The sequence below is a fragment of the Homo sapiens genome, chromosome 1, assembly GCF_000001405.40.
Source record: "Homo sapiens chromosome 1, GRCh38.p14 Primary Assembly".
In the NCBI taxonomy this organism is placed as follows: domain Eukaryota; kingdom Metazoa; phylum Chordata; class Mammalia; order Primates; family Hominidae; genus Homo; species Homo sapiens.
In genome coordinates, this window is record NC_000001.11 from 42518650 (window position 1) to 42538218 (window position 19569).

The window sequence follows — 19569 nt, forward strand, 5'->3', positions numbered from 1 at the left end:
ACATTCTATGATGTTTGCACACTGACAAAATCACCTACCGACACATTTCTTAGGATGTATTCCTGTCATTAAACAATACATGACTGTAATTTTACTTCTTCCTTTTCAATTTGGATACCTTTTATTTTTGTTGTTGTTGTTGTCTAATAGCTCTGGCTAAGACTTCCAGTACTTTGTTGGATAGAAATAACAAGTGCAGGCATCCTTGTCTGATCTTGGAGCAAAAGCTTTCAGTCTTTCCACCATTGAGTATAATGTTCACTGTGGATTTTTCATATGGATTTTTATATTGAAGCAGATTCTTTCTGTTCCATGTTTGTTAAGTGTTTTTATCATGAAAGGATGTTGGATTTTGTTAAATGCTTTTTCTGTATCAACTGAGATTATTATATGGGTGTTTTTCTGTTCATTCTGTTAACCTGATGTATTACATTGATTTAGTTTCAATATGTTGAACCATCCTTGCATTCCAGGACTGAATTCTACTTGGTCATGGTTTATAATCCTTTTAATATGCTACTGAATTCAATTTGCTAGTATATTGTTGAGGATTTTTTCATCAACGTTCTTAAGGGGCATTGGCCTGTAGTTTACTTTTCCTGTGGTATCTTTATCTGGCTTTGCTGTTAGAGTAATTATGTCCTCTTCAAATGTGTTAAGAAGTATTTCTTCCCCTTCATTTTCTTAAAGGAACATTGGGAAAAAGGATATTAGTTCTTTTTTAAATGTTTGGTAGAATTCACTAATGAAGCCATCAGATCTAGGGTTTTTCTTTGTTGGGAGATTTTACTTACTGATTCATTCTTCTTACTAGTTAGTCTATTCAGATTTTCTGTTTCTTTGTGATTTAGTCTTGGTAGGCTTTGTGTTTTTAGAATTTCTTTTTTGTTGTTTGTTTGTTTGTTTGTTTTGTTTTATTGAGATGGAGTTTCTCTCTTGTTGTCCAGGCTGGAGTGCAATGATGCCGTCTCGGCTCACTGCATCCTCCACCTCCTGGGTTCAAGCAATTCTCCTGCCTCAGGCTCCCAAGTACCTGGGATTACAGGCACCTGCCACCATGCCTGGCTAATTTTTTTTGTATTTTTAGTAGAGACAGGGTTTCACCATGTTGGCCAGGCTGGTCTCAAACTCCTGACCTTGTGATTCGCCCACCTCAGCCTCCCAAAGTGCTGTGATTACAGGCGTGAGCCACCATGCCTGGCCATGTTTTTAGAAATTTCTGCATTTCATTTAGGTCATCCAGTTTCTAGATATGCAATTATTCATAGTACACTCTTAAAATCACTTTTATTTCTCTAGTATCTGTTGTAATGCCCTCACTTCCTAATTTAATAATTTGAGTCTTCTCTCTTTTTTCTTAGTAAATATAATTAAAGATTTGTCAATTTTGTTGATCTTTTCAAAGAACAAAGCTTTTTGTATATTTTCTTGATTGTTTTTCATTTCTGTCTTTCATTTATCTCTTTTCTAATCTTTATTTCCTTCCTTTTGCTACCTTCAGGTTTGTTTTGTTTTCCTTTTCTAGTTCTTTAAGTTGTGAAGTTAGCTTGTTGATTTGAGATCTTTCTTATTTTTTACTGTAAGCAGTTACAAATTTCCCGCCTTCACTTTGCTTTTTCTGTATCTGTAAGTTTTGGTGTGTTATGATTTCATTTTCATTGATCTTTAAGTATTTTCTTTCTTTTCTCTTTTTTTTTTTTGAGACAGAGTCTCACTCTGTTGCCCAGGTTGGAGTGCAGTGGCATGATCTTGGCTCACTGCAACCTCCACCTCCCAGATTCAAGCAATTCTGCTGCCTCAGCCTCCTGAGTAGCTGGGATTACAGGCATGCACCACCATGCCCGGCTAATTTTTGTATTTTTAGTAGAGACAGGGTTTCACCATGTTGGTCAGGCTGGTCTCAAACTCCTGACCTCGTGATCTGCCCATCTCGGCCTCTCAAAGTGCTAAGATTACAGGCATGAGCCACCACGCCCGGCCTCATCTTTTTTTTTTTTTTTTTTTTTTTTGAGACAGAGTCTCACTCTGTCACCCAGGCTGGATTGCAGTGGCGTGATCGTGGCTTACTGCAGGCTCTGCCTCCTGGGTTCATGCCATTCTCCTGCCTCAGCCTCCCGGGTAGCTGGGACTACAGGCACCTGCCACCACACCCAGCTAATTTTTTTTTCTTTGTATTTTTAGTAGAGACGGGGTTTCACTGTATTAGCCAGGATGGTCTTGATCTCCTGACCTCGTGATCCACCTGCCTCAGCCTCCCAAAGTGCTGGGATTACAGGCGTGAGCCACCGCACCCAGCCCCCAGCCTCATCTTTAAGTATTTTCTTTTTTCTTTTTTTTTTTTTGAGACGGAGTCTCGCTCTTTTGCCCAGGCTGGAGTGCAGTGGTGCAATCTTGGCTCACTGCAAGCTCCGCCCCCCGGGTTCACGCCATTCTCCTGCCTCAGCCTCCCAAGTAGCTGGGACTACAGGCGCCCGCCACCACGACTGGCTAACTTTTTTTTTTTGTATTTTTAGTAGAGACGGGGTTTCACCATGTTAGCCAGGATGGTCTCAATCTCCTGACCTCATGATCCACCCGCCTCGGCCTCCCAAAGTGCTGGGATTACAGGTATGAGCCACCACACCTGGCCAAGTATTTTCTAATTTCTTTGTGACTTATTTTTTGATCCATTGGTTTTTTAAAAGTGTGTTGTTTAGTTTCTACAAATTGTGAATTTTTCTGTTTTCCTCCTGTTAATTTCTAACTTTATCCTGTTTCAGTTGGAGAAGATACTTTGTATGATATCTGTTTTTTAAAATCTATTGAGACTTAATTTGTGGTTTAACATATGATCTATCTTGTAGATTGTCCTGTGTGCAGTTGAGAAGAATGTGTAAGCTATTGCTGTTGGTTATAGCATCTTGTATATGTCTGTTAGCTCTAGTTGGCTTATTGTGTTGTTCAAGTCCTCTATTTCCTTACCTACTTTTGGTCTGGTTATTTAATACATCATTGAGAGTAGGGTATTGACTCCATTTATTCTTGAACAGTCTGTTTCTCCCTTCAATTCTGTAAATTTTTTCTTTTGTTTTTTGATGGTCTTATTATTTGCCAAAATATGTGTAATTATGATATATTTTTACTATATTGAGCCTTTTATTAATATATAATATATTTTACAATATTTTGTAACCTTTTTGAAATTGAATGTTTATTTTGTCTGATATTAGTATAGTGTAGTAATTTCCCTGTTCTAATTTGGTTACTATTTGCATGAAATGTCTTTTTTTATTCTTTCACATTCAGTCTACTTTTATCTTTTAGACTGTATATACAGTCATCCTGCAGTATCATAAGGGGATTTATTCCAGGACCCCTCACAGATACAAAATTTTCAAGGCCTTTATATAAAATGGTGTAGGTATTTGCATAGAACTTATGCACATTCTCCCATATATTTTAAATTATCTCTAGATTACTTACAATACTTAATACAATGTAAGTGTTGTATAAATAGTTGTTATGCTGTATCATTTTTATTTGCATTTTATTGTCATATTGTTATTTTTATTTTTTTTAATATTTTCAATCCAGGGTTGGTTGAAATGGCAGATATGGAACCCACAGATGCAGAGAGCCAACTGTAGTTGGACTTTTTTAATCCAATTTGCCAATCTCTGTCTTTTTATTGTAGAGTTTAATCCATTTACATTTAAAATAATTACAGAAAAGGGGGGTCTTACTTCTGTCATTTTGCTATTTGTCTTCTATATGCTTTGTTAGCTTCCCCCACTTATTTCCTGCATTACCCTTTTATGTTTAGTTGACTTTGGATAGTAAAACACTTTTCTTTTCTTCTCATTTCCATTTGTGTATATTCTGTAACTATTTTACTTAAGGTTAATGTGAAAGTTACATTTAACATCTTAAAGTTATGATACTCTAAATTGAATTTCTTTAGGTTAACTTCAGTATCATACAAAAACTCTGCTCATTTACAGCCATCACTATCCCTTTCAGTTTTGATGTCCCAAAATTACATCTTTGTACAAATGTGTTTCCAAAAACATAAACTAACAACTAAAAAATAAATGAATCTTTTCAATTATGTGGAAGCCAAAATGTGGAGTTATAAACCAAAGTTACAATAATACTAGCTTTTAGACCAATAATTTTCTTAAATATATTCTTTCTTAAATCATGTAGACAACAAAAAGTGGAGTTACAAACCATTGTTACAATATTACTTTTTTTTCTTTTTTTTTGAGATGGAGTCTCACTCTGTTGCCCAGGCTGGAGTGTGTGATTTTCCCACCTCAGCCTCCCGAGTAGCTGGGATTACAGGTGCACACCACTACACCTGGCTAATTTTTGTATTTTTAGTAGAGACAGGCTTTCACCATGTTGGCTAGGCTGGTCACAAACTCCTGACCTCAGGTAATCTGCCCACCTCAGCCTCCCAAAGTGCTGGGATTACAGGCATGAGCCACTGCACCCAGCTAGTACTGGTTTTTATAATAGCCGGTGTATTTACTTTTACTGAGATCTTTATTAATTTCATATGGCTTTGGGTTGTTGTCTACTGTCCTTTCATTTCAACCTGTAGGTCTCCTTTTAGCATTTCTTGAATAGCAGGTATAACGTAAACAACTTTACAGCTTTTCTCCCCCAGACATACCTAGGAATGTCTTAAATTCTGTCTCATTTCTGAAGGACCAGTTTTGCCAGATATAGGATTCTTGACTGACAATTTTTTCCTGTTAGAATTTAGAATATTTCAGCCCACTGCCTTCTGGTTGCCAAAGTTTCTGAGGAGAATTTTGCTGTTAATCTCATTGAGGATTCCTTGTGTGTGATAAGTTGCTTCTCTCTTGCTGCTTTCAACATTTTCTTTTGGTTTTGTCTTTCAACGGTTTGATTATAATGTGTCTTGGTGTGGTCGTCTCTGAGCCCATCTTATTTCAAGTTGGTTGAGCCTCTTGGTTGTTTGTATTCATGCCTTTCATCAAATTTAGGAAGTTTTCACCCATTATTTCTTCAAATAATCTCTCTGCCCTCTCTTTCTTCTGGGACTCCCCAGTGTGTATGTTGGCCCACCTGATGATGTCCCACAGCTGCCTTAGCCTCTGTTCACTTTTCTTCAATTTTGTTTTGTTGTTATTGTTCCTCAAACTCAGTAATTTCAATTGTCATATCTTCAGGTTCACTGATTATTTCTTCTGCCTGCTCAAATTTGCCTTTGAATCCCTATAGTGAATTTTTTATTTCAGTTGTTGTACTTTTCAGTTCTAGACATTCTTTTTGTTTCTTTTTAGGTTTTCTATCTCTTTACTGATATTTCTGTTTTGTTCATACATTATTTTCTTGACTTTCTCCATGTGTCCATAAGCTTCCTTAATATAGTTTTTTAAAAGTCTTTGTGTAGTAGATCTGCCATATGGTCTTTTTCAGGGACAGTTTCTGTTGGTTTTGTTTTCTTTTTTTTTTTAAGTTTTAAATGGGCCACACCTTCATGTTTCTTTGTATTTTTTTTTCTTAAAAATTGAACATCTGAATCTAATGTGGTAACTCTCGAAATCAGATTCGCCACCCTCCCAGGGATTGCTGTTTTTGCTTTATTTTGTTTTGTTTTTTATTGTTGTGGCATTAGCCTGATGTATAAGCTTAAGGTCTTCTGGAGTCTTTTCTGAGTGTGTGCCTTTCCCTTATCATATGCAGTGGATTTTCCAGTTTCCTCTCTATACGCAGTTGCTTTCAAATGTTCTGCTCTTTAATGACTGGCTTCCAAAAAGGGAAAAAGAGAAAAATTAAGGAGAGAAGAAAAAGGATGCTAGCCCTTTGAATCTCCTGAATGTCACCTCTGCCAGAGGGGGAGGGGCTTGCAACAATGGGTGGAGGTGCAAAAACAATGGCCACCTGACTCTGTCTGTACCTACATGAGCGAAAGCAGCAATCACCCATCAGAACACAAATCCCCAATACTTAAAGGAAAGCATCCTTGTTGTCCATTTTGACTCCCACACGTTGCATGCAAGCTGTTCCAGGAACTCATGCACACTGCCTGCCACAGGGGTGGAGGAGAGGAGATGGCTGCTGCAGGGCTAAGAGCTTAAACTGATAGAAATTAACAGCAATTTACCATCCAACCCTTTCTCTAGAAGTTTCAAGCCTTTAATAGACTCCAGAGTTCAAAAATATTCGTATCAGACAGATGCCACCAGCAGGATTATTGTTTAGGTGGAGAGACAGATTTCTGGTGTTTCCCAATCTGTCATCTCTCCTGGCCTTCATTTTTGAAGAATGTTTTCACTGGATATAGAATTTTAAGTTGACTTTCTTTTAACAATACTTTATAGATATCATTCCTTTGTCTTCTTGCTTTCATAGTTTTTGACAAGCTCATAGTCATTCTTATCTTTGTTTTTCTATATTTACTATTTCTTTTTTCTCTGGCATTTATGAAATTTTTTTAGCAGTTTGATTACAGTTTCTCTTGGTTTTCTTAGTACTTATCTTGCTTGGGAGTATTTGAGCTTCTAGATTCTGTGAGTTTATAGTTTTCCTCAAATATGGAAAAAGTTTAGCCATTATTTCTTCACTTCTTCAAAATTTTTTGTATTGCTCCACTTCTGTGAATCCAACTACATGTGTTTACATCCTTTGGTATTTTCACAAAGGCTCTGTTCATTTTTTCCCCAGTTTTTCTCTCTTTGTTCTAGTTTGATAATTTCTATTGTTGTTTTCAAGTTCACTCATTTTTTTTCTGTAGTGTTTATTGTGTTTTTAATCCCATCCCATGAATCACTCATTTAAAGTGTTGAAAATTTTATCTCTAGAAATTTCATTAGTTCTTTTTTGAATATCTTTTATCTTTTATTCATTAGGTCTCTTAAAAAATACATTGTCACTTCTAGGTCTGTTTCTATTCACTGATTTTTTTCCTAGTTGTGTTGCACTTGTTTCTTTGAAGGTTTAATAATATTTTACTGGATATTGGACATTATGAATTTTATATTGTCGAGGACTGAATTTTATTGTCTTGCTTAAATAATATTAAACTTTGTTTTCACAGTAGGTTAAGTTACTTGCTGAATAGCTTAATTCTTTCTGGATTGTTTTTAAGCTTCCTTAGGGCAGATTTATAGGAACTTTTATTCTAGGGCTAGAATAGTCCTACCCTTATGGTGTGACCCTGGGTGTTCAATAAGGACTCTCTGATCTAGCTGGTCAGAACTCAAACATCTCCCAACCCTGCTGACCTCTGAGAATTGTTCTTACAGCTCTCTCATTGTTCTTTGCTTATCTTTGTGGAGTTTTGCCCTACTCATGTGTGGCTCAGTATTCAGGAAAGACTTGAAAAACTGCAGATTTCTGCAGTTCTTTTCTCTGTGTGGCTCCCTTTTCTGTGGTACTCTATCCCACGTATTTCTGCCATTTCATCTTTCTGAACTCCTTTCTCTGTCTCCTCAATTCCACAAGATTGCTATGCTCTATACAGGATTTCCCTCATATCACCACACTCTAGAAAGTATTTCAAGGCAGAAATCCCTGGCAGTTGTAGTGTCACCTAATTTCCACCCATCTCTAGTGGAGTAAAGTCCCCCAATGTCTCTTGTCAAGTGTCTGAGAAGAGTTGTTTTATAAGTATTTTTCCACTCTTCCATGTGTAAGGGTGAGGAAAATCTCATCCTCATTATTCCGTCATGGCCCTTTTTTTCTTTTTCCATGACCTGTTTTTCATGTCTATTTTTTTGTTGGAGGGTTGGGTTTTGAGGTCGTTTTCTTCTCGCTGAGTAATTTCTAAGTTCTGGCTCATTTTGTCAAATCATACAAATGATATCATCCCAGAACTATCTCTGCTTGACTACCTGAATAATTCATATCCTTTTCCCAGGCCTTGTTTTTATTTGGATCTCTTTTCCAGGTGCTAAAGAAATTGATCTTTTAAATATGGATCTCCAAGGTTTTTGTCCTCTGTATCAGAGGGAATGACTCTCTAGACTTAATGTTCTGTGGTTTAAAATCAATTTTTTTTATTTTTTATGTGAATACACCAAAATTTATCTACCCTAATATTGTATCTCCTTCAGTACAGTTTTCCTGGGGTGCTTTAGTCATGTTTGCCACATGCATTGGATAAAAACTATTTTTAAATTTTTCTTTACAAATTGACTGCATAGTTACATAAGATAGTTTGTCTTATAGAATGAAACTTCCCCCAAACTGTTACACAAGTAAATTTTCAAATTTGTCTCTGAATATCTGAACATATTAACTGTTCCCCCTAAAAATCAACCTTTCCCAGAAAGATGATTACTTATTATCTGGGTTTGTTTTTGTTTTTGTTTTTTTGCGTGTGTTCACCATTTCAGAGGTGATTTTAAACATGGATTTCCAACATACTTTGTGTTCATCATTTTTCAAAATAACTGCTCTGAAGGGTGTAAAGCTGACCAGGAAGGTAACCTGAAAATAAATACATGTGTTTCTAGTAAAACTTCTTTCAAGTATAAGGATTTGGGTCAATACATAATGTCCTCTGACTGCCTCAGTACTTGTTGTACACCCCTACTACAGAGCTGATAACTTTACAGGGTAACTTATCTGCTTGCATATCTGTGCTTTCCCACTGTGACAATCTACTAGGATAGGACCACAGGGGTATTTGTAACACAGAAAGATGTGATCAAGCAACTTTAGTTTAGATGTTGGGAGCACACTTTGGAAACAGTCTGCCTGGGTTCACATCCTAGCTCTTATCAACTACATTGTGACCTTGAACACATTACTTAGCTCTCTGTCCTTAACTTCCTTACCTGTAAAATGAGAATAATAATGTCCCTAGGACTCAGCAAAGAATGAAGGCATATTTTGTACTCAGTAATCATTGAGTGAATTAATGAGTAAACATACAAACAAATCAATAAGAAGAAAGGTGATTTTATTTAACAGGATAACATTTTCTTTAGAATTACTGAAGGAAACTATTGTACACATGTAACACTACAGTTTTTAAAAGGTCAAATTTTTCAAACAAAACATAAAGAAAAGCAGACTGAATCTCTTATGCAAATCTCACTAACCTCCCATTCTTCCTTCCCACATTCTAGGAAAAAGATTAATGATGTTGAGTATTGCTCCTTCCTGTGGTGTCTGGGAAGGAGGGTAGTTGTGTTTTCTAATCTTTTAACCTCATCTTCTCTACTCTTTCTTTTTTTTTCTTTTTCTTTCTTTCTTTCTTTTTTTATTTTTTTGAAACCGAGTTTTGCTCTTGTCACCAAGGCTGGAGTGCAATGGCGCGATACCGACTCACTGGAACCTCTGCCTCCCGGGTTCAAGTGATTCTCCTGCCTCAGCCTCCCGAGTAGCTGGGATTACAGGTGCCCACCACCACGTCCAGCTAATTTTTGTATTTTTGGTAGAGATGGGGTTTCACCACATTGGCCAGGCTGGTCTCGAACTCCTGACCTCAGGTGATCCACCTTCCTTGGCCTCCAAAAGTGCTGGGATTACAGGCATGAGCCACTGAGCCCGGCCTCCTCTACCTTTTCTAGTGGCAATGAAGTCTAGAACAAACCAGTTGGAACATAGAATAGGTGTGCTAGCTCTGATAAGTTGTCTTCCAAAAGAGAAATATTTTTCCAAAGACTACCTATGTGAGAATGGCTTAAACTCTGACTTCTTTTTTCTTTCATGGTGACCACAATTGTGGCCCACACCTTGCTCTGTCATTCATATATCCGTGTGAAGGAGGCTTGATATGGGAAGCAGGCCCCACGATGAACATAGAATTTCAAGAGTTATTGAGGGGGCATCTATGAAGTATAAAGGTAAGGAGCAGACATGGCCAGGGAAAGCCTTCAGATCACAATGCAGGTCTGACATCTGTTAAATGAGAGGGAGAAAGAAGGAAGATTGATTGGGTAGGAAGAGCCTCAAACTGTAGTGTAGCTCTGAGAAAGTCTCTGCCAGCCCAACAGACGATTTTGGAACATTGATAACCTGTAGAGGAATTACACATTGGGCAGAATTGGGTGGGCCTTAATATTCCCACCATGCTCAGTCATTCACTGGAGGCTACCTGGGAAGAGAAGCAAGTACTTTTTTGAAGGGAGGTATCAGTGGTGTACCTCCACATGGCTGTCTGTATCGTAGAACTTATGCTTGGAGAAGATCATTGGAGAATACCTGGTTAATCTACCTCCCTCTTTGACAAATGTTATCTGTGACATTCTGGATAAATGAGCATCTGTTTTATTTCAAAAGATGTTCAGAAAAGATCACATGGTTTTCCCTAACGTTTAACATTAAGTACCAGAATAGTGTATGTGTGTCTAACCTCAATCCTCTAAGCTGTGATGTAAACCAGTTTTCTTTTCCTTGTCATCTAGACTGAAGTTTGTGTGGATTTCTAAAATTAGAAAATAAAGCTTTATATTGACTCTAATAATCCTTTCACTTACATCATCCCACATAAAGCAAGCTGGATTGGACTAATGAACACTGTAAATATTTCTTCTTTTTAAAGATGTTAGCAAGTAGAAATCTTTAAAACCGGAAAATGAGTTGCTGCGGTGGCTCACGCCTGTAATCCCAGTACTTTGGAAAGCCAAGGTGGGCGGATCATAAGGTCAGGAGTTCGAGACCAACCTGGCCAACATGGTGAAAATACAAAAATACTAAAAATACAAAAATTAGCTGGGCGTGGTGGCGGACGCCTGTAATCCTAGCTACTTGGGGGGCTGAGGCAGGAGAATAGCTTGAAACCAGAAGACAGAGGTTGCAGTGAGCTGAGATCATGCCACTGCACTCCAGTCTGGGTGAAAGAGCAAAACTCCATCTCAAAATAAATAAATAAATAAATAAATAAATGGTCTCAGTTAGTAATAATCAATTAGAGTTAAATGACCTTCTAAAATCATTTCCTAAAGAAAGATTTTGCCTTCCAAGTTCTCTCTTAATCTTTCATGAAGGAAAAGCCTCAAGATTTCTTGATGGTGTTTGGCAGCCAGGTGATGGTGATAGCAACAAGTATTAACTGAAGGATCATTTTCAGCATAGGAATTAAGTGAACTGAGTGCTGTAGTCAGCAGGTAAGGAGTAACAGCCCATTCCCATTAACTTGTTTCCAGACCTTGACCTAGTAATATGCTATTCCTGGCATGGGTTGTTTCCTTCAGTCATTCCTTCCTTATCGCTGACTACAGTAGTTCCCTCTTATTTTCAGTTTCGCTTTCCACAGTTTCAGCTACCTGCAGTCAACTGCAGACTGAAAATATTAAATGCAAAATTCCATAAATAAGCAACTCATAAGTTTTAAGTTGTGAACCATTCTGAGTACCATGATGAAATCTTACACTGTCCTGCTGGGATGGGAATCATCCCTTCGACCAGTGCACCTACAACATACACACTGTATACCCATTAGTCATGGGCATTAGTCAGCCTGCTCCTGACATGCAACCATGGACATCATCATGGCTCAGTGATCCAAGATCACTCAAAGCAGATGACTCTACTTTTCAAGTATCATCAGAAGGTCAGTAGTAGTCTAATGCCATGTCATAATGCCTAAGTCATTCACCTTCACCTCATTATTTAGGCATTGTGCCATCTCACATCATCTCAAGAAGGATAAGTACAGTACAATAAGATATTTAGAGAGAGACCACATTCACATAACTTTTATTACAGTATATTTTTATTATTATTGTTGCTAATCTCTTACTATGCCTAATTTACAAATAAAACTTTATCTTAGTTATGTATACATGGAAAAAACAGTACAGTTGGCTCTTCATATCTGTAGGTTCCACATCTCCCAATTCAACCAATCATGAGTTGAAAATATTAAAATAAAAAATAACAATACAACAATAAAATAATATAAAATTTAAAGTATAGAACAGGCTGGCCATGGTAGCTCACTCCCAGCACTTTGGGAGGCTGAGGTAGGAGGATTGCTTGAGCCCAGGAGTTTGAGACTAGCCTGGGAAATATAATGAGACTCATCTCTCAATTTAACATTTTAAAAATAGTGTAACAACAATTTACATAGCTTTTACATTATATTAGGCATTGTAAGTAATCTAGAGATGATTTAAAATATATGAGAGGATGTGTATAGGTTATATGTAAAATACTATACCATCTTATATGAGGGACTTGAGCATCCATGGATTTTGGTATCTTCAGTGATCTTGGAACCAATCTCCCTCAGATATCAAGGGAGGACTGTATAGAGGGTTTGGTACCATTGGGAGTTTCAGGTGTCCACTGGAGGTTTTGGAACATATCTTCCAAAGATTAGGGGGACTGCTGTACTTTATTTTCTGTTTCTTACAAAAAGGAAGTAAAAAGATGGTGGTATTGTTTGGATTTGTGTTCCCACCCAAATTTCATGTTGAATTGTAATATTAAATAAAAACCCCAATGTTGGAGGAGTGGCCTGGTGGGAGGTGATTGGATCATGGGGGCACACCTTCCTCCTTGCTGTTTTAGTAATAGTGAGTGAGTGAGTTCTCACGAGATCTGGTTGTTTAAAAGTGTGTAGCACCTCACCCTCTCTCTCTTCCTCCTGCTCTGGCCATGTAACACGTGCCTCCTTCCTCTTCCCTTTTTTGCCATGATTGTAAGCTTCCTGAGGCCTCCCCAGCCATGCTTCCTGTAGAGCCTGAGGAACTGTGAGTCAATTAGACCTCTTTTCTTTATAAATTACCCAGTCTCAGGTAGTTTTTTATACTATTATAAATGCAAGAATGAACTAGCATAGATGGTGTACTGGTTAACTTCATATGTCAACTTGACTGAGGTTTGGGATGCCCAGATACCTGATTAAACATTATTTTTGGGCTGGGCACAATGACTCACACCTGTAATCCTAGCATTTTGGAAGGCCAAGGCAGGTAGATCACTTGAGTCCAGGAGTTTGAGACCAGCCTGGGCAACATGGCAAAACCCCACCTCCACAAAAAAATACAAAAATTAGCTAGGCGTGGCGGCGCATGCCTGTAGTTCCAACTACTCAGGAGGCTGAGGTGGGAGGATTGCTTGTGCCGAGAGACAGAGGTTGCAGTGAGCTGTGATCATACAACTGCACTTCAGCCTGAATGATAGTGAGATCATACTATATATATATAAAATCTTCTGTTGGTTCTGTTTCTCCAAAGAACCCTGTCAAATACAGATAGAAACTAATATATGAGTCTCTTCAGTGTTGTAATGACTCTCCTGGGGGTTTGACATAACTTATTTTAACAGAAATTCAGAGAGGGTAGGTATTGTTCACCCTGATTTACACATGAGAAAACCAAGATCACAGATTTGTAAAATGTGAAAGTCAAGATTTCAAATCTCAACCTAACTACAAGACCTATGTTTTGGCCGGGTGCAGTGGCTCATACCTATAATCCTAGCACTTCGGGAGGCCAAAGTGGGAGGATTGCTTGAGCCTAGGAGTTTAAGATCAACCTGGGCAACATGGTGAGACCCTGTCTCTTAAAAAACAAACAAAAAAAGACTTAATGTTTTTGCCATCGTAGTTTCCAAACTGTGTTCCAGGGATCTTTGATGTTTCATAAATAGAAAGCTGTGGGTCTTCTACCTCCACATCAGTCAGAGAAATCTCCACTTCTGGGAACTCTGTAAAGGGCTTTTCCATAAGAATTATTATGAAAATAAAGGGGAGATGGGAGTCCTGTGACTTAAAAAGGAAAAATAATTTAGGAAATCATTCCCTTATATCAAGCACTCTTCTCAAGATGTAACTGTGTTCCTTACCCATTTCTCTATGGAGACAGACTTATCACTAAATAGACCATCTTAGTGCTGTTATTACACGTGTTCTCAGAGAACATGCTTAAAATAGAAGAAATGCTAGGTATCTGGTAGGAAAATAATAGCCACAATATATTGAGCATCTATCATGTGTCATGATCTGTTCTAGGTGTCTAACAAACATAATCTCATTTAATCCCAATAACAGCGTTAGAAATAGACCTTGGAGTTGTAAGGAAAATGAGCACTTAGATAAAGGATTTTTCAGCAAAGCAAATTTACTTTTGTGCAGGGGGGTGCCGCCCATATGGCTGGTCGTTATGAGAGCGTATACAATAAAGGAGGGTGAAAGTTTTTATTTATTTATTTATTTATTTTTTGAGACGGAGTCTCCCTCTGTCGCCCAGGCTGGAGTGTAGTGGCACCGTCTGGCTTATTGCAAGCTCCGCCTCCCGGGTTCACGCCATTCTCCTGCCTCAGCCTCCCAAGTAGCTGGGACTACAGGCGCCCGCCACCGCGCCCGGCTAATTTTGTTTTTGTATTTTTAGTAGAGACGGCGTTTCACTGTGGTATCGATCTCCTGACCTCGTGATCCACCCGCCTCGGCCTCCCAAAGTGCTGGGATTACAGGCGTGAGCCACCTTGCCCGGCCAAAAGCTTTTAGTTTTGACGTAAATCTTGTCCCTGTGCCCTTTCCCCACTGGGTGGGGTTGGACTGTATAATTTAAACTAGACTTGATTGGATAAACATTTAAACTTTTTTTTAGATAAGGTGGGCACGTAAGGGAGAGAGGAGAGAGAGGGAAGGGGTTGTCTGTGGCAAGTTAGAGAGTCAGTTTTTTAAAAAATAAGGAAAGGAATGTGAGCTGGTGTTGATAACGTCACTGGTGTTGTGGCATGCCTGGGCATGTAGTAAAAGCAGAAAGAAAGAAGAAGAAAGAGAGGTGGAGGGGTATTGAGAATTAAAGAATAAAGGATTAATTAGGTTGGTTGAAGAGAAACCTTGTCATATTTTACACAGCCCTCCCCAGAGTAAGCAGGAGTATTCCCATTACATATTTGTGAGAACTTAAGGGAACTTGACCAAAGTAATAGTTGCAGCCAGGAGCTGATCCAGGTTTATCTGGCCCCAGGGCTCATTTTCTACACCATAACAACTCTTGGGGCAACTTACAGAGGAGATTTATATAGGGGACTTATTATAACTCATGAGGGCTACAGCATACCCAGCACTGAGCACATAAACCGCTTCCACCTACAGGTGATGACCAGGCAGTATTTTATTTTCTACAGTGCCTGCATTCATCTTTTCATTTGACTGTGCCTGTGAGAGGGCGCAGCACAACGCAAGCACACAGTGGGACGACAATAAAACTTGTCATACTATGCAGGGAGGCACAGTTTAGTTCAGAGCATTAGGTGATCCCCACCTTTCAGAGAGTAGAACATTGAAAGTGGAAAATTCTGAGCTGTTACACCATCTCCAGAGTCGTTGGTGGCTACCCATGCTAAGTCATTAGTCCTCTTTGCTTACTGCTGGCTGGCAGGTGAGGTAGGCTCCCTCAAGCTACTCAGAGATCTCTGTATCCTATTGCTCATCTCTCACATTATTTATTGCCCCTTTCTTGTGTTTTTCTGCTTTAAACTTTGGTTACTGGGCTCATTAAGTATATAAATTGCCTAAAGGCATAACTATATTCAATGTGCCACGTATTATGGTAAATTTTAAATATATATTCTTTGGGAAAGCTATCTTTTAAAAATTATAGCATTGAAATACATGACATTCTTACTCTAGGAAAAGACAAAGAAAATGAGGGGGGGGGTTCATATTTAAGAGTTGAGATGTTTCTTCTACTTTGTACTGAAGCATCTCAGGTGCCATAAGGGTGGGGCTAAAGGAATTCTTGCCTTGAGTGTTGAATGCATCAGCATGTCATGTGTGAATCTGAAAAAATATTCACCAGTGCAGATGGTGGCTGATGGGAGAAGGTACTCTGGGAAAAAAACATTTATTCTTCTCCATTTCCTTGTGCAGTGCTGCTAAGCTGACATGATTCTTGACTACATCTTTTGTCCATACCACTGGACAGGAGGAATTATAAAAGTTACACTAGGATTTTAGTATCCATTTTTCTAATAGCATTCCCCATTCTTTCTAACTCATCAGCTTTGGATTGTTATTTCTGTTTTATTGACATTAAACATAAGAAAGGTAAATTAGTAGTTTGATTAATTCAGAACAATCAGGATTCTGTAGTGTATTTTTCTAATACTTGTTCCCTTTGGCTCAGCTACCAAACAACAGCAAAGTCTCAAATCCATAATAAAGCAAATCTCTTAAGGATCCAAGACCAGATAGGAGGTGAAACTTGTTGCTAGGAAGCGATTTCAGGGCTACTACCTCAGAAGAAGATGCTTAAGAAATGTCGCTTTTTTTCAGTATTTTTTAAAATGACATTTTGTAACTGGTGATTTATTTAGATTGAGGCTTCCATGTTAGAGCCTGAATTATCAGTAACATAGGAAGATAGAAGAGAAACCAGTACAAAAGATCAAGAGACAAAGTACAAGATTTGAATGAGGTAAGAAAAAAGGGATAATTTTCAGTTACGTTTTCTAATAGAGGTAAGGCAGACACCATAAGGATGCTCAAGAATCACTGAAAATAGGCAAAAGGAGAAAGCACACTTCTAGGAATGTACATCCTATGATTGTGACCAGTGGTTACAGAAAACCTTGCCAGGAGTACTCAATCAGTAAGGAGCCCATTTACTAATGTATTTAGGATAAACTGGTATGTTGAAATTATAAGGATGGTTTAAAGGTATTGCCTTACTAACGAATGAATGTAAAAATTTGGAACAATCCAATAATAATATAAACTGCCACTTACAGAGCATTTTCTATAAGTGAGGAGCCCATATATGTCCAGGCATCATTATCTGTATTTTTAATATGAGGAACTAAGGCTAAGAAAAGTGAGGTAACTAGCTCGGGATGCCATTGTTGGAAACCAGTAGAACAGGACTGGGAGGGCTGTTCCTACATACCACTCTGCATTTCCCAAGTTACAAAATATAGATGTGCCAATTTCAGCTGCTTCCTGACTGGCCAAACCAAATGTGCAATTAGTTCATTTGACAGGTTGGCTTTTACAATGGAGAGGGGTCGGCCGGGCACGGTGGCTCACACCTGTAATCCCAGCACTTTGGGAGGCCGAGGTGAGTGGATCGCTTGAGCCCAGGAGTTTGAGAACAGGCTGGGCAACATGGTGAAATCCCATCACTACTATATATATATATTATATATATAAATTTTAAAAAATTAAAAAAATAAACAATGGAGAGGGGTCTGCTGCTTGGTGATAGTGTGCTCATCAAAGAAATTGGCTCAGTTTTTGTTGTGTTCCTAAGTTGTATTTTGATCTCAATTTTATCTCCTAATAGGTTTTTTTACATAACAGAAAATTCACTTTGGCAAGGCTGAATAGAGTAGATATTAAAAGTAAGAGATTTAAGTTAGACTTGACTTAGAATTCCAGTACTGACTGTGTGAACTTGGACAAATTATGTAACATATCTGAGCCTCACCTGTCTCCTCTGTAAAAATAATGTAATAATAATTCCAATCTCATAGGGGTCCTAGGAAAACAAAATGAAATAATGCATCTAACATACTTACCATAGTCTCTGACATGTGGTAAGTCCTCAATATAAAGTAGCTGTTATCATTATGAGTCCAATTTTTATTATTTTCAAATAATTTGGAAAGATTTCAATACTGCCTTATATTTGATAAGTGATTAAATTTTATAAAATACTTTCAAAATCACATTTTATTCCTACTGTGATGGCTATAATGTAGGTAGAACAAGTGTTACTACATTTTACCATTGTGTAAATTAAGGCTTAGAGAGAAAAATGTATCTTATGAGCTATAAACTAGTTTTCCTAGGTTCATAAATCCCCTGGATGATTTCATTATTGAGTTAGAAAGTTGTTATTATCAGAATTTGTAGGAAACACTGCTATTATATATAAAATTAATTATGTAAAATGCTTTTTACAGATCCTGAAAATGAGCCAAGAAAAAAATGAAATGTTTGAAAGTGAGTGGTCAAAAGAGAGAGAGAGAGAGAAGCAGTTGGCATCTGGTCTTGACACTGCAGAGAAGGCCTTGAAAGTTGAAAGTGAGGTATTACCATTCAGGAAGCTGTTTTCTTCTTCTTGTAGTTCTAATTTAGGGATTTCATGTTATCATTTTTAAATAAAGTATAACTATGTGTCTCAGCTTGGGCTGCCATAACCAAACACCACAGACTAGGTGGCTCAAAGAACAGAATTTTATTTTCTCACAGTTATGGAGGAGGGGAAGTCCAAGATCAAGGTGCCAGCCAAGTCAGTTCCTGGTGAGGGTTCTCTTCCTGGCTTGCAGATGGCCACCTTCTTGCTGTGTCCTCACATGACAGAGTGAGCAAGCTCTGGTGTCTCTTCCTCTTCCTATAAAGGCACTAACCCTATTGGATTAAGGCCCCACCCTTATATCCTCATTTGACCTTTATCACCTCCTTATCAACCCTATCTATCTCCAAATACAGTCCATATTGGGAATTAGGGTTTCAACAATATGAATAGGGAGGGAGAGCACAATTCAGTCCATAGCACTGTAGAATACGTGTTTCTATAATAATAATGGGGTAGCTCTGTTGTTTCTCCAAGCTGAGTTCTAGCACTAAGCAAAGAGTCCTTTATTTAGCAGACGTTTGATTGTTGTAGTGTTCATAGAGTCATGGGCTTATCGCTCGTTTTAACTTCTTGTCCTGCCATCTTGGAAAGATCTATCAGGAGACATAATCAGCCTATATTATGAAAAGAGACCTGGAAGTGAGTTCATGGAAGTCTAAATCAGTAATTTAGAGGATAGTGACACTCAATCAGTTTGTAGTTTGCAGTGCCCCTAATCTCATCCTAATGACCTACAGGAATTTTCAGTGAAATAAGATAGGAAATCAATTATCATTTACCCTCTTCCTGTGGTTTTGGGAGGCCACCCTCTACCTTCTTGCCTTTTTGTCTAAGCCTTTCTAATCAGCATTTACCTCCCACTTTGACTTCAAGGCTTTGGGAAAATACCAAGTAGCTCCTCTCCTGAAGTAAATTTTATGTAACCTATTCCCTTCATTGAGCACCACAGACTGACTCTCAACCCAAAGTCTTCCACCAGTCAATCAGTGCACATCCTGTGTCATCAATGTAAAAATCTGTTAAAAATCTGCATTTAGGTTGGGCACGGTGGCTCACGCTTGTAATCCCAGCACTTTGGGAGGCCAAGGTGGGCGGATCACCTGAGGTCAGGAGTTCGAGACCAGCCTGACCAACATGGAGAAACCCCATCTCTCCCGAAAATACAAAATTAGCCAGGCGTGGTGGTGCATGCCTATAATCCCAGGTACTTGGGAGGCTGAGGCAGGAGAATCACTTGAACCCAGGAGGCAGAGATTGCAGTGAGCTGAGATCATGCCATTGCACTCCAGCCTGGGCAACAAGAGCGAAACTCCATCTCAAAAAAAAAAAAAAAATCTGCATTTAGCCAAAGTGTTTTCTCTTGTGGATATATATTTTTAAAAATCATGCTGGGCACAATGGCTCACATCTGTAATCCCAGCACTTTGGGAGGCTGAGGCAAGAGGATCACTAGGAGCTCAAGACCAGCCTAGGCAACATAGTGGGACACTGTCTCCACAAAAAAAAAAAAAAAAAAAAAAAAAAAAAAATTAGCCAGGTGTGGTGGCATGTGTCTGTAATCCCAGCT

At 38.4% G+C, this 19569-nt stretch overlaps 1 protein-coding gene across 11 annotated transcripts in view, besides 1 other annotated feature; it reads left to right on the top strand.

Moving 5' to 3' along the window:
* The window catches only part of CCDC30 (coiled-coil domain containing 30), a 201084-nt gene that overhangs the window by 62543 nt on the left and 118972 nt on the right, over positions 1-19569 (top strand). For 2 of the 11 annotated variants that reach the window (NM_001355224.2, NM_001355227.2), the window contains 2 exons: positions 16240-16340; positions 17827-17952. The exons of 5 other annotated variants lie outside the window; for them this stretch is intronic. Coding sequence is in view for 3 of the 6 variants with exons in the window: in NM_001395517.1 (NP_001382446.1) it covers positions 17827-17952 (126 nt within the window). In the remaining 3 variants the exon portion in view is untranslated. Of the gene's footprint in view, positions 1-14608; positions 15303-16239; positions 16341-17826; positions 17953-19569 lie in introns of those variants that run through there. 4 more of the 11 variants (NM_001395517.1, NM_001395379.1, NM_001080850.4 and 1 more) reach the window with 3 other exon arrangements.
* Positions 395-595: a silencer, noted in NCBI's record as "peak194 fragment used in MPRA reporter construct". NCBI's record gives its function as "represses an SCP1 promoter by STARR-seq MPRAs in K562 erythroleukemia cells {active_cell/tissue: K562}" and the evidence as "EXISTENCE:reporter gene assay evidence [ECO:0000049][PMID:32103011]".